Genomic DNA, 16292 nt, shown 5'->3' with positions numbered 1-16292 from the left:
CTTCAGTATCATATTTCATTCCCATGGAAATGCTATGAGCTGGGTACATTTATTAACAAATATCTCTACTCTTCCCAAAAGGAAATGGAGGCTTGAACAAATTCGCATGGCTATTAAGTTGCAGAGCCAGATTATGAACAGAAAGTGTGTGCCTTTAATCACTACACTACTTTGGTTCACAAGATTGCAAGATAATCTGAGGCAAAGATGTGGTAGGGGCTAATTTTCCTTACTTTTAGAGAGAAGGTATTATTCTCTAGAGGTGGAGATGAGAAAGGGTATGCTCAAGAAGTGAGACATTAGGGAAACGGTTTATTGAAAGGTAGTGTGGGTGCTTGATTGATGTATGATTTTAATAACTGTGCTATCTAGTGTGAAAATCAAGGAAAGCTGATGGCTCCTCTCTGTCCTCCCCCCTTGGCTTTTCTTTGATCTCATATAATGGATAGGGCAGGTCATTGAATCATAGTTCCAGGAAGTGAAGATTTAACAGGAGTTATGTTTAAGTGCAAATGGACACATTCTCTCTTCAGGTGCACTTTCCAGAGGTTAAAGAGTTCAGAACAGTTCTGAAGACTTGCTCTCTCCTGAAAAAAAGATCTGCTTATAAATTTTATTGATTTTAAAGAACAGTGTTCACATGATCCAGGTTTTAAATAATGAAGATGTTTGCAGATCAGACGAAATCAAAGAAGGAACCAAGAATAGTGTTCTAAGTAAAGAAAATAGGAAAACAACTGGATCAGTTAAATATGTGGTAAGGGGTACTCCGTTAGAAATAAACCAAAGTCTTAAGTAATTCTACAGCGGGACTCAACACCAACAAAGCTTCTGAACTCTTTTTGAAGATGTGCCTATTAGAGATATAGAATTAAAGTTCATTCCTAGATGGAGGTCCTCTTAATACAGCACTGGAATGCCAGGAGGGGCTAAGAGGAAATTGAAAGGACATAGGTTTTACATATATTAATGAACATCACAAGGAAGAAGGCAACATGACGGAAATTCTGAGGATTTGCAATTGCACTATGGCAGATTTTTAAATATTAAAATGTTTTACATGTCATTTTTAGAGATGAGTTAATATGCATTGGTTGTGGTCCCCCAACTCTGTCCCAAGAATAAGGGCTACTATGTCATCATTAACTTCCTGAGGGAGGACTTCTCTCAGTTGAGATTTCACTCACAGGTCCTAGACTTAAGAAAATTGACAGATTTGGAAAGATCTATCTCTCTTATCTCTCTCTCTATCTATACACACACACACACACACACACACACATATACACATATATACATAATTATACACACAATTAAATACAGTCATCCCTTCCCACATCCTTCCACATACTTTAAATAATCTCTAGATTATTTATAATACTGAGTGCAATGTAAATGCTATGTAAATAGTTGTTATACTATATTGTTTAGGGAATACAAACAAGAAAAAGTCTATACATTTTCAATACAGATGCAATTTTTTTCCTCAACTATTTTGCATCCATAATTGAATTCATGGATGCAGAATCCAAAAATACAAAGGGCCGCCTACATATGTAAATATATATATGTGTGTGGTTGTGTATATATGTATATATGTGTATTTACATATACATACACATATATAACCACACACATATATACATATGTACATCCACACACATAGAGAAATTATATAGGTACACACATATATATTATATAAACTTTGCTTTCTTCTGATTTTTCTATATATTATTTTTCTCCAAGATAAAAGTTTGGCATGATCTATAGCAACAAGATCTAGAACGAAATATTTGCTATGTCCTGAGATTAATACTTTGGCTTGGGTATACTGTAACAAAATGGTTTCTTAAGTTGCAAATTACTGCAGCTAAAAAATAACTGGTGCTTTAATTCTTATGTGTTTTTATCTCCTGAGATTTTGGAAAAATGAAATATATAAGAAAGTTGGAGCCGAATTTTTTTCCAATTTCAGAGGTAATTAATGGTGCCAAGGAGCAATATCACTTTTAAAGGGAAACACACTTGGCTAAAGCTGTGAAGGAGGAAGCCAGAGTCCAGAGAGACCACCAATGGCCTGTGACTGAGCCGACTAAGAAAAAACAGGGGCAAAGAGTGTCTTCTGTGCATATCCTGGTACTTTTTGTGTGTGTGTGTCAATAAAGGAATAGGAGATTTATTTTATTATTTTAATTTCAATATTGGAACATAAACTTATTTTAAAAATTCATATTTTACAAATTCTTCAATATTATTTTATGTCATATCTTTATAAAACAGTTTCTAAGATTGTGGGTTACAAAATCAGAGGAGAGTTATTCTTCCATATTTTGACCATATGAATTTTAGAAATTTACTTAATATCTCTGCCCTCAATTTACCCACTTGTAGATTGATATACTGATAGTGCCTACCTCATAGCATTACTGTAAATATTAAAATAAATTACACGTGAGAAGTGACTAGCCTATGATAAGTGTTTAGTAAATATTAATAACTACTATTTTTCCTAACAGCTATGGTTTGAATGTCCCCTCCAAAACTCATTTTGAAATGTAATTGCTATTGTAACAGTATTGAGAGGTGGGATCTTTAAGAGGTGGTTAGGTTATAAGGACTCCACCCTCATGAATAAAAGCCAGGTGAATATTTCTTTATACACATGATATTTAACAACTTTGAAAGATGTACATCCCAGGGCATCAGTCTAATCCATAGACAAACTCCTCCCCTCTAGGAGGAGGAGCCACCATCTAGGGAATGAGTTTCTGATGAAAACACAAGTTTGGACTGATTGCCTCTCTCTGTCTCACCTTCCTCTTTGTCTTCCACCATGGGATAACACAGCATGAAGACCCTCACAAGATGCAGTACTCTTGGCCTTCCCAGTCTCCAAAACTGGGAGAAATAAATTTTCCTCGTTGTTATGTTACCCAGTCTGTGATATTCTGGTATAGCAGCAGCAAATAGACTAAGACACTGGCATGCTGGCTTTGCTTTTTCCTGGTGCATGTTTCATGATGCTGTTTGGTGAGCTGGTTTTGAGGACATGGGGAAAGAAGAGGAGGAATACTACCATTGAATAAGTACTTAGTATCTGCTAGGCTGTGTGCTGAGCACTGTCACACAGACTGTCATTTATTCCTGACTAGAACTGTAGATGTAAAAGATGTTAATACTGCATATTGAAGTTAAAAAACTTGTTATGTATGCAGCTTTTACATTATAAATAGTACAAAACATTGAGGATGTAGTTGTACTGTATTCACAAATTATATTTTGATTCATTCAGCAAAGCCACTCACTTCCATGAAACATTAGTGAAGTATGGGTATACATCCTTGTTGTTTCCTTTTCATCTTACTCATTAAGGTAAATAAGAGTTACAACCAGCATTTATGTCAGAACTATACTCATCCATCAATTACAACCATAGTTTCACTACAGATACAAGAGTTGGGCAAAAATCAATGAAAATGTTCCATAAGAATCAACTGGCAATGTGGAATTTATAATGGAGACTATCATATATTTTGTTATTATTTAGAAATTGAGTGTTATACATCCTTTATATCAATATAATTTATAATCAGTGTGTGTACACACACACACATACAAACACATGTTTAACTTAGGGTTGTTGTTGTTTTTGCAGAGGTTGCACTTAATTCATCCTCAGAGGGGAGGAGTTTGTCTGTGGATTAGACTGATGCCCTGGGATGCATATCTTTCAAAGTTGTTAAATATCATGTGTATAAAGATATATTCACCTGATACTTGCTCCATGAAGCCTGAGAAGTAAAGCAGAGACAGGCTAAAAACCTGGTCATCTGTTTCACTTAGCTGCCTTCTTCCTCTTATACCTGCTTTATTCCATTTCATTGGTGATGAAAAATGGACCTGAGAGTTGCTGATGCTGCTTCTCTAGTTATCTCTGACCTTGCCGTTAAAGCAGGAAGATCTAGAGTCAGTTATGGGGTTGGGAAGAAGGAAGTAGATGAGACTACATATATAAATGCTACGTTGGTAAGAGAGCCCCAAGCCTGTCCTTGGTGTAGACAGATAATTTCTGTGTATATATAATCAAGTTCTACACCGTGTTTTCAGGCCAAGTTCACTGCATAATGGAAAATGCCCTTACATTTATTATTTTTACTCTGGCAGTATATATTCTCTTTGGGAACTTGGACTATATTAACCAGATTTTTTTTCCTTTTTAAATAACATCTTAATCTCACTCCTTGCACTATTACAATTCTCACAAATAACAGAAGCAGCATTTCTCTCTGATTATAATTTTGTCCATCTTCCTTCTCTGAACTCAGGTCTTCAGCAACATTTGAACTAGAAGTCTACGTCTGATTGCTTCCAGAATCTATATGATCATAATACAGTTTCTAGAGAGTGACCAGGAATGATAGGTAAAGAATCATGAAATACTGTACACACACACACACACACACACACACAAAAGGATTGCCTATTATGTCTATCCGCTCTGTAATTTGTAAAACAAAATCAGGGTGTAAATTGTTCTATGCCAGGGTGAAAAATCACAGATTTTCTTTGAAAATATACAAAACTAAGCAAAAGAAAAACTAAGCATACTGGGAGAGCTTTGGCAGTTGTCATCAGTACTTCTTATAGTTAGAAAGAGCAATCGTGTCCCTGAGAGTCTATGAGGTATCAGTGCCACAAAGCAAGGTATCGGTGGTCTCCATACTAAACATGGGTGGAGGAAGAAGGTTTGAAACATGGAGCAAAGCCGCCTGGAGCAGGTTTTGAATGTGGACATTTTTGCCTCATAGATTAGTAGATGGAAGAAATCTAGAAAAAACAGATTTCACAAGAAAATCCCATGACTGTTTCTGAAAACATATGATCTTCTCCCTCTGGCTTTCATTTTCCCACTTCTGATAAGCAATTTTTATGGGAAATGTTTTATTTCCCTTTTAGCTCTACTATCACAAATACAACAATGCAAGCATGATAAGAAATGGAGGCTAGCAATCTCAGAGCAAAAATTAAGAAAGACAGGAGAATGTGGCAGACCGAAGAACTTTTCTTCTTCTGTCTAAATGTGGCAGCTGCTATGTAACTCCAATCTATGTTTGTATAAACACAGAGCCAGTGTTGTCATATTGTTCATTATTTTAAAGAAACCAAAAACATGGACTTGAAACCAAAAACATGGACTTAATTAAAAATGTATGAATTGTAAGTGTTGGGAATGACCAATAAATTTTTTTTAAAAATTGCAGACCAGAAGTATGCAGGGTAAACGAAACTTCCCTAACAGTAAATATTAAGACATCAATTTACAACTACTACCTGAAATTCATAAGGTAATTAAAAGGACATTAAGCCTATCTGACTTTACTGCAAAAACTGAACACAAAGTTGTTCCAAGGACATATAATGCTATGATTTAAGGATGACTGAAATGAGTGAGAGAGGTCTTCCTTACATAGAATCACTTTTCCACTTCCAAGTGGAATGATGTCAAATGATGTTAGTGATTTTCTCCTGTTTCAAAGTGTCCCTCGATCCAATCACTATAGCTCAAATCTAGCAAAATAATGATTCTATTACCTGCTACTACATGATGAGCTGAATATTTACACAGAGTTCATCCACTCCATTGACGTTTCAATTACACATTTGACAAAATGACTTATTGGCACACCTGATAAGAAGCATTCACACCTACCTGAAGAAACCATAGAGTAATGTAAATTCATCATGTGTTATTTCAGGCAGCCAGTCTTTGAAAGCACCTTTCATTTAGAAATCAAAGGTGAAGGTCTAAAGAAAAGAACTCTCTTATCCAATCAATCATTAGCATATATGAAATGTTGACCTGATGCCCCTTATTCATAACTGATTATTTAACAAAAATAAAAAACAAGAGAGAAATTTATTTCCTTCCTGAGTAAAGTAAATCTTTGTTTTTAGTACAAGCAGGCAAATCAGTAACCAAATAATAAATGGAGAGTTAAATAAGGGTTTATCATCTGCCTCACTTACCAATGGTTGCTTACTGTCTGATGATTCCATACTTTCAGTGACCATACTAATAAAAACAGCTCACCCGGACAAATTTACAAGCCAGTTTTCAAAAGCAACACATTGCCACTTCCACACTAGCCAATGAGCCTTCTTGCATTGCAATGCTCTTATTCAACAAGATTAAGAAGCACAAATGCAGAACAATGTTCTCTGTGACTGTGAGGGAGCATTATTCAACACTAATGGCAAATATGTTTACATATTGCCAGCAATTGCAACTCCAAGCTAAAGCTATAAATGTTGGACTAACTTCCAATGTAGTATTTATGACAGGTTCTCCTTGAGAAATAATTGCAGTCTTTATACATGCCTGCAATAAAAAAAATATAGCTTGGGAAATGTATGTTTCTTCAGGTTTCAGCAAAAGTTTCAAATCAGAGTATCAGTGAATGAGGAGGATTACTCACTCCAATTCTATGCCCTGCATAGTAGTAATCTGCAAAACTTAAAAAGTCAGGCTGCTGTGAAAACATGAATATCTTTTTCAGTGAGGAAACTTTCCTGTACATCTTATGCTCCCTTTTAGTGTTTCTGAAATCTAGCCATTATGTATGAACTGCATCAAGATCACTGTAAATATTGGAAAGTCGATCAAGTCTGTTTTCTAAAGCAGGTATTTAAGACGTTGATTAAGCTAAGAATACAAAATGTATTCTGGCATAGACATTTATTGTGTTTCTTGAATTCAGTGTTTATTTTTCATGAAGTTATAATAATGAATATGTTACTGCAGCTGTTAAGAGAAAAAGATTCTGGTAAAATTTAATGAATAAATAGAGGAGTAGTTTGCTAATTCATAGTTAATAAATATGTTTTTTTCTCCAAAATAGAAAATGGTATTTCTCTGGATATTTTTTCATAACAGATTAGCTAGGACTTCCTTGCTAACACAGTACTTAAGAATCAAAAGCTAAGTAAATCAGGGAAGTTTTTGGTATTTCATGGCATCAAATAATAAGTTCAACTGATTTTTTTTCACCGAAGTGACTAGTGTTAGACACAATCTACTTAAATTGAGTGGCAATTTAAACTGTGCCTTCATAACACTAAAATAGCAGATCAACTCAACAAGAAAAGTATAATCAAGCAGACTGGGCTCACACACATTTGACTGATTGATAGAACTTTTCACTTTTTAACCTTTCATTTCAATGTCTTAGAGTCTCGCCAACAACTCCTAAAACCCCAAAACCTGTACACAAAGAAAAGTGAATGTTCAACATGAGAAGATTTGACTTTTGTTCTGTGATCACCTAGAGATTAAATGTACCATTGAAACCACTGGATGCAGCTTCTCCATTCCTGTCCTTAAAATTATATCTTTTCAATGGGCTCTTTCATACTCAGCAGAGAGCCTGGCCAGCCCATGGTAGAGTCAGAAAACAGACAAAGACTTTTTTTAAGTATCCTCCAAATTCCTGATCAAGAGCCCATCACCTTCCTGATAACAACCCCAGTCCCTTCACATGTTGCCTTCCAGGTGACTAGTGGTATCAGTGCCATACTCTACTCAGCCCCGTATTTCTCAAAATTTAAGGTCAAAATCCTTTCTCAACCCTGAGAAATTCAGTGCTTTAAGTCAGTGCTTTACTTATCACTTTTGAAAAATCTATCAAATCATTTGAATCTATAAAGCTAAAGTCTGCTAATGACTTACATTCTATATAACTGTTACACTTTATCCCAGGAGTCTTTGATACAAACCAGTGGCCAGTGAGAAGACATCCACATTACAGTTAGGCTGAGAGAAAATTTTTTGTTGTGGAGACTGGGTCCTTCGAGTGCACTTAGCATACGGAGGGTTGACTCTGATTCTGGAATTAAAAATATTACTAAAGGATAAAAATTCTGCACTTCAGAATCATCCACATACCTTTTCAATATAGATATTCCAGGGATTCTGACTCTGTGTGGCTAGAGTAATAACGAGACACTTACTTTTTTTTTTTCAAAAAAGTGTCAGAGATAATATTGAGGCATGGTAACATAGCTGAGTACCACTTGGACAAGATTCTGGTTATTAGATCATTACTAAGGTCCATTCTTTAATTAGGTTTCTCTGCTGTGAAGCAAATCATTCCTCTCAACCATGAGAGAGAAAAAATTGCAGTAAGCTATTTCTCTCAGTCTTTTCTTGGGCACCAAAACTCATATGCAGAGATTTTCAGGAGCAAACACAATGATCTGTCAGGGCTTTTTCTCCTAACACTCCCCATTAATGAATGGGCAGCAAAGCCCTAGATGACTCCACTCCATTACTGAAATGAATAGGCAGGCCTCATAAAAAGCATCCTCGGCCAAACCATTCGTATTGTAAAAACTAGTTCCCTATGGACTGCAAAGTACATCTCCCTTTCGATTAGAGCATCCTGTGTGGCTTTCATGTGTATGGGTGACTAATTAAGAGAGCTCATCATTGCTGTCAATAAAACTGCTCTCCTTGACAACTTGGCAAATCTTAACAAGAGCATTTCTGCCATCTAGTGTTCAAAGCCAGCAAACAATACTCTTAGCACCTGTAAGGGCATAGCTCTTCTCTGTCAGGCCTAAATGAGGTTTTAGTTTCCATTGCCAAGGTCAATTCAGAACTGCTTGGGGGAGGTAAGGAAAAATAATATTTCTTGGGAAAAAAAACCTTGTACAACATTACTCTCACTCGCTCAATGAACAACTTGGACTCTAATGCAGTAGATCATTAACGTCATGATCCATTTTTGTCACCCACATTCTGATTAAATTTGGCTCCATAAAATAAGCTTCTAGAATACCAAATGTCCTTAGAGTCTCACCCATGCTGTCGGCAGCAGAATGTAATTAGCACATGAAGCTTGTAAACCTGAGAATCTTGGCTCTGCTTTGTAATGTAATGGAGTTTTCCCAGTAACAATAATTTGATTTAATGTTCAACAAGAGGTTAACTGTGAGGACTACAGTATTTTGGTGCTGAAATTCATATTTCACAAAATACAATTCACATCAAAATGCTCTTTCCATATAAAAAGCCTCTGGCTCACAGTTCAGGAGGCTGAACATCCCTATCTCTCCAAGAAATAATGACAAAAGCACTTAATCTCTCACCTTGGGATCCCAGGCTGGAAAAATGATCGGCCTGAAGTTACTCTCAAATTCAAGGAGGTGGTGAGAAATAGCTCCTACATACAGGTTTTGTATTAAAGAAGATATGCCTGTATTGTGGGTTGTACCAATGCCCTTTCCCCCAGCCAGAATAAGAGCCATAGAACTGTTAATGGGAAGAGAGATCACTAGGTAATGAATTCAAAGCCAAAGGAGTCTAAGGGTGACAACCAGGGCTTTTCTTGACCCATACAACTTCGCTTTTCTTTATTAGAGATTTGAAAAATAATAACTACAGCTAATGATTGTCATCATAAGAATTTGTTCAACCATTATTATGCGAGTATTCTATACCTGACCTTTGCACTTGATATCATCATTTACCAAAAACAACAATAAAACTAAATAACATCAGTTGAGCCTCTAGTATTTGCCACGCATTGTGGCATACATGTATATCTCATTTAATACAATGATCTTGAGAAGGAGGCATAATTTCTTTTCATTTACTAATGAGGAAATCAACATTGATAGAAGTAGCTACACCAAGACAGCACAGCCAAAAAATGATAGAGTCAAAATTAAAGTTAAGTTATGTTTGATGCCAAAGATCCTTCCAAAGTCATGTAGTTTTCCAATATTCATGAGGGATGAAAAGAGCATCCAAAATCCTAGCTCCTTCCTCTCCTCTTAAATTCCATTCATTTTTTGCTCTATGAGCCAATTGTCTCTTTAGTTCTAGTTGCCAGAAAAAATGGTCATGAAGATTTCAAAGTTAACCAATAAGTCTCAAATATCAGACGCTATTAAGTTTATGTTGACAAGAAACAATACTTTCCTGATTTATACATGACAAGAAAACATACACAATATTTTCAATTAATGCTAAGATTTTATCAGAAGATTTTCATACATTATAACTTTCATACATTGTCATTTTCATAGATTATAACTTAGGCCAAATCAATTCTGCCCAAGACTAATTTTTTAAAATACGTATTTTATCTATCACTTAAAATGCTCCAAGACCTTCAAATCCAAACTGATTAAGCACTTGAGGTAATCCTCGAACCAATTCTTATTTTTATTTTTTTTTGAGACAGAGTCTCACTCTGTCACCAGACTGGAGTTCAGTGGTGTGATCTCAGCTCACTGCAACCTCCAACTCCCTGATTCAAGCGATCTCCTGCCTCAGCCTCCCAAGTAGTTGAGATTATAGGCACGCCACCACACCCAGCTAATTTTTGTATTTTTAGTAGAGACAGGGTTTCACCATATTGGCCAGGATGGTCTCGTTCTCCTGACCTTGTGATCCGCCTGCCTCAGCCTTCCAAAGTGCTGGGATTACAGGTGTGAGCCACCACTCCTGGCCAAACCAATTCTTATTTACCAGGCAGCCATTCTTACTCTATTCCATGAACCTTCCTTTCAAGTCGGCCTCATTTATTAATTTGTCGAAACATACCTTGCTTACTCTTCTCTGCTACTTTGCTTAGGAAATTCCCCAGGTCTGGAATAACCTTCCCTATATGGTATGTGTGTCCAGATGCTTCCAATATTTCTAGAACCAGCTTTAGCCTCATCTCTTTTGTGAGGGCTTCACCATCTTGTTAGCTCTTGATACTCACCCTGTACTAGAATATCCCACAGCTCTTACTTTCTTCCTACTCATATGTAGAGTATATTTTTATGTGCCTATATGTTTATTCCATTTTACTACAAGCAAAAATCCTATGCTTTGGGGCAAAGATTCAATTCTGTTCAATACAGCATTATAGTTATGCAGCATCTACTCAGACATAGGCACAATTTAGAAGACTTCATGTTCTAATTTGAAGTATATTCTCTGAAAAAGGGCCTAAAGTAGGTGATTAGAAAATTTTGTCAGAAGAAAGAAAACTTTTTTGAAGACATGCTATGATCTAGGCACTGCAGTAGACATTTTTATATAATTTATCTTATTTAATCCTAACTACAGACCTAGAGGTAAAGTTGGGTTCTTTAAATTTTTGTAGATGATATTGACATTATAAAACTGTAAACAATTTTCCAAAGATTGCATGTATGCAGCAGTTAGTATCAAACCTATAGTTTCTATTTCCGAAATCTATGCTTTTTTTCTTCACTGTGGTAGAGTTTTCTTGTATTTAGCCTCAGAAAAACAATCTTTTGAGATTGTCATATGCCTGAAAAGGCCAGAAGAGAAATAATGTAGATTAGTAAGAGCTACCAAGAAAATCTCTTGTTGAGCAAAAGTCAAGCCGCTAAACACTCCCCTAAATTATCAACAACATTATAGTACTTTAATACAGTAATTTAAATTTAATTGCAAATTTTTTCTTTAAATTTTAAGGATATATTAAGTGCTTAACCAACCATTTCCCATGGATTTATTTATATCAGTTTTTTACCCATATGGATTGGACTGTTTCTGTGTAACAGACACACCTCCAATGTAACATTAGATTAAATTCCAGTTTGGCTAAGGATTTAAAGTAGGATAAATACACAGGGCAGGAACGGCTATACCTCAGCATAACGTAGCTTCCCTTAAATCCAAAGTCTCTATCTGAGGCACAAACAGGGGTCAATGATACTGCTAGTAGAATCTCAGAAGGATGAGAAGTTTATTTTTTGTTCATCTACCTGACTTGGTGCCCTATTTGGGCTGCTTCCTAACTCTCTGGCTTCTTGTTGGGTCAGTAATGGGAGGTGTTGGCAGGGAGTGGGTAATAAAGTAGAAGGAAAAAGAAGAAGGCAGTTTGGGTATCATCACCACTCTGCCATCTCCTCCCACACAACAGCACTCACTTCCTGCACACCTGCAGCTGGCAGCAGCTGCTGGGGGGTCGGCTTCCGTAGCTTTTTCTCTGTCTCTTTCAGCTTCCACCGTCTCTTTGCCCCTTCCTCCCTGGCTCCAGCAGCTGAGTGTCTCACTGTGCCTTGTTCATTCCTTGAACCGCGCTCACAGATCTGTAAATAGCTCCTCTTTAATAAACCATTGTTAATTTAAATCTTCTGAGTGAACCCTCTTGCTTCCTACCAGGCCATTGATTTGATATATGTAATTAGAGCAAATTATGAACTACTACCACTCTTTTTCACTTTTGGTTATTTCTATAGCTTCAAATTTATACCCAGAATCCGAAATGTAAACATTTATAATTCATGTTTTTAAAACCCAAATTTATTTCTCAAATGCCACAGACTAACTAGATTCTCAGTCCTGGCTCAGAATTATTTCTCAGAGAATAATACTTCAGTTCTTCATCAAAAATAGTTTCTTTCTTTCTACCTGTACATAAAGATCAACAAAACCCATCAAAATAAATATGTCTTAGAATTATAGATGCTCATATTTAACTCAATCATAAGAGAGATTTCTTGCATTTCCACTTTGTAAGAGAGACTAAAAGTATTACATGTTTTTTTTAGGAACGGAATATTTTCCTTTTGCCAGGTTTGTTCATTTTTGGCCCTCATCTTTATGGCTTCTTTGGAATTAGTTTCAAGTACACCTTGTATTGTATAGACTGGTTAGATTAATTAGTTTTTTCCTCTGGACCAAAATAGTTTGGAGAGGGAGGAGGAGTAAGGGAGGTTGTGGTTAAGGATGGGAGAGGCTGCATCAATAATTATTACAAAGCTAACACTTACTGAAGTAGCTATTACTGTGTAATTACTAAATAATTACCATTGCTTTCAAAACACTATATATTTTTAAGTCATATATTCCTGAAACAAACATGAGATCTTGTTGTTTGCATCTTGCATCTGAGGTGAGAAAGACAGGAAGAGGATAAAGAACTTTGTCCTAGGTCCCACAGCAATAAGTAACAATGCTAGGACTTGAATTACACAGCCTGCAGGCAGGTCTAAAATCAAGGCTCTTAATCACAGCACTTAACTGCTATTCAGATATTAATGCTTAGGTTCTCCCTTCTCTGTTTGCTCATTTCAGCATAGCAGAAAATAAAAATAAATACAGTCAGCCCTCCACATCTGAGGGTTCCCTGCCTGTGGATTCAACCAACCATGGATCAAAAATATTCAGAAAAAAAATTGCATCTGTACTGAACATGTACAAACTTTTTCCTTGTCATTATTCCCAAAACAATACAGTATAACAATGATTTGCCTAGGATTTACATTTTGTTAGGTATTATAAGTAATCTAGAGATAAGTTAAATTGTATCAGAGGATAGTGGTAGGTTATATGCAAATACCAGGCCATTTTATATCAGGAGCTTGAGAATTCCTGAATTTTGGTATTCAGGTGGGATCCTGGAATCAATCCTTCATGGATACCAAGGGACAATTGTAAATAAAAGTATCTCATCATACTACCATTTAAACTGAAACAAAATGAAGCAGAAATGTACCTCTGAAAAATAAAGTCATTTTAGAAATGTTTGACCTATTGTCAGTGGTGGCACAAATGCTCCTGAAACCTGGTTCCTGAAAGCGGGCTCTTTGCCATGATGAGAAAAAAAAGTCCCAAAATTATTTCTGGGCCACCATTGATGTTACAAGCCTAGGATGGCTGCCATGGCTCTAAGTGTGTATACACCATTGTCTCTCAGACACAATACTTTTCCTGGTTATAAGATATGACCTATATCATTGTATAATAGTTACATTTCCTTTCTACTAGTTTGGACAATATTTGTAACAATTTTTACAGTATTCCTATTTAGAGGTTGATTGCAACATTTATGTACATTATGTCATGCCAAGCAATTTAATGTAAAAGTTTAAAAAACAGTATGCACTAAGTGCTTAACCCAGTATTTTCTTTGGTTTCAATTCATTTATACTGTACTTTTTAACCCATGTGGTTTCCCAGCAGACAAAACATGTTCCTGCTACACGACACCCTTAATGGAGCTTGAGGGTAACCGAGGAGCTCCAGGGTGTGGGTCAGTGGTTCACACAACTGGCTAATCATCAGGACAATCTAGGCAGAGTTCCACAAATACAAGTTCCCAGGCTCTACCCTGGACCTTCTGATTCTAGTTCTAATGAAGCTCCAAAATTTGCATTTTTTATCTACCTAAACAATTATGATGGTTTGTCAGTATGAAGATTTCACCAGTTTGAATATTGTGAGAGGATATGAACAGTCTGTGAACTTCCAATTAGTTAGCCTAAAAAATATTTATTTTTATGAAGTTCATTGATCAGATCATTGAAAGGACTTCTAAGATCCCACAGAGTATTCAAGCCAAAGGATAGAGTGCAAGAGATAGAGTGCAAGATAATGCCAGCAAGTGTCAGAGCCCTTAGATTCTCCCAGACATAGCTCTTCAGGGTCATCCTTAGGCCCACAAAGAAATAGTTTGCCTTCAAATTAGATGACAAGGTTTGTACAGGAAACCTTGGTTTAGGGGGGAGCTCCCTAACAGTTTGATTATATAGACAACAAAGGCTTTCTAGCTAATTATGCTGGTGAAAACCATCAATAATTAAGCTGGGCCTGAGTGCCACCATAGGAGTTTCAAAGTTTAAATTGCACTCTATAAATGATTATTTATTCCACTACCCTTATCTTGGCCAAGAGTCAGCACTAGATTTCCATGTTCCCCAGAGATAAGCACAGGGCTGCTCTAGTCCAACTGCAAATTAACTATATCTTGTACAATTCTATAGACCCAAGTCTTGCTACACATGCAGCCCCAAAGTGCAGGATTGAGTGGAGTTAAAGGAGATCTGTACATGAGCCAGGGTCAATTTAGGGCTTTAGCAACAGGTGGACCCTAATATTTAATCCTAACTTGGTTCTTGTGTCTATTTTTCAATGTCAAATTTCTGCTTACATTATCTCTGTTTTTACATAATGTCTACTTTTTTTCCATTAGGACCCTTAAAATATGAACCATAGTTATTTTACATTCCATCTCTAAGTCCAACATTTCTGTCAAATCTGAGTCTTGGTTTAATGCTTGCTTTGTATTTTCTGTGTTTTTCCTACTTTTTAGCATACCTTGAGTTTTTTTGTTGTTATTGAAAGCTATATGCATATATTTGGAAAAGAGAATGAGACACATAGGCCTTTAGTGTGAGGTTGTATCTTAACCTGGCTAGGATTTGGGCTGTGTCCAATGTTTTCTGTAGCTGTATGTGTCAGAGTCTTTCAATTCTTTTAATGTCCTTGTTTTTTTCTCTGGTGTTGTCTTTAGGTTTCCCTAAGAGCTCATTCTTAAATAGAGTCTAAGTTTGCAGATCTTTTGGCTACAAATCCACTGTTATTATACTAGATGCCCATTGATTTGGTAGCAAGGAATGGGAGAAAAGAGAATTCTGTAATCTTGTGATTAAATTTCAGTTTTTTAGCAGGTCTTTCCATGTGGGCTGTGACTTTCACAAGAGCTTTCACCTTTTTTTTCATCCCCACTTAGGTAAGACAGAAAGGCTATGGGTGGCTGGAACTGGGTAACTGCCCTTCTGTCAACATAAGATAAGGCTCTGATAAAATATTTTTCAGTGGAGCATAGGACTTTGTTACAAGAAAAAAACTGTCATATTTCAAAGTGGTTACTTTTCTCCTCCCCCTGCCAAAGACACGAGATGATTTTTCTTGGCTCTTCATGATGAGAACTTGGTGGGGTTCTTGGAGGTAAAAACCTCTGAATATGCAGAACCCCTTCTAAGACTGTGACTCCAAGGAGTTTTTATTCTTGAGCTATGTCACACTCAACTTACAGCAATTTATCTGAATTACCATTCAGGTGATCCATCCACTTTTTAGTTCCGTGGTTCCTGCTCCAGGTAAGCTGATGTCAGTTGTACTCTGTATTCCTCTGTCTCCATATTTAAAAATGGTAGTTTACCTTGTGACTGCAGTTGTCCGAAGGGTCCCAGAAAAGTTGTTGATTTTCAGTGTCTTCAGCTTTATTCCTGTTGTAAGGATAAGGTTGATGATTTCAAAACTCTTTACATGTTAGAGTTGGAACCTAGAGTACAAAGATGTTTTTATAAAAAACTTGTGACTCTATTTTGGAGTAGAAATTAGAGGAAATAACAGCAAAATATTATACCAGCCATAAGCTACAATTCCTTTTGTATTATAGATGATACATTCAGAACTTAGTTCATTGTTTTCCTGTGTATGTAAAAGAAGGTTTATAAAAAAAAAACTAATAGTATTG

General features: G+C 36.2%; 2 long non-coding RNA genes across 4 annotated transcripts in view; one reads left to right on the top strand and one right to left on the bottom strand.

The window, feature by feature from the left end:
- Positions 1 to 14197: 14197 nt before the first annotated feature.
- Positions 14198 to 16292, bottom strand: part of LOC105378306 (uncharacterized) — a 33317-nt gene continuing 31222 nt past the window's right edge. The window contains exons 3-4 of the long non-coding RNA XR_945963.2: positions 15866 to 16041; positions 14198 to 14291 (exon numbers count right to left, since the gene is read on the bottom strand). This is a non-coding gene — a long non-coding RNA (uncharacterized LOC105378306). The remainder of the gene's footprint in view (positions 14292 to 15865; positions 16042 to 16292) is intronic.
- LOC105378307 (uncharacterized) overlaps positions 15707 to 16292 on the top strand; it is a 28825-nt gene continuing 28239 nt past the window's right edge. For all 3 annotated transcript variants that reach the window (XR_945965.3, XR_945966.3, XR_001747451.2), the window contains exon 1: positions 15707 to 15912. This is a non-coding gene — a long non-coding RNA (uncharacterized LOC105378307). The remainder of the gene's footprint in view (positions 15913 to 16292) is intronic.

Source organism: Homo sapiens, chromosome 10 (genome assembly GCF_000001405.40).
Source record: "Homo sapiens chromosome 10, GRCh38.p14 Primary Assembly".
Taxonomy (NCBI): Eukaryota; Metazoa; Chordata; class Mammalia; order Primates; family Hominidae; genus Homo; species Homo sapiens.
The sequence above is the reverse complement of the archived record's forward strand: the minus strand, read 5'-3'. Positions and strand labels throughout refer to the sequence as shown.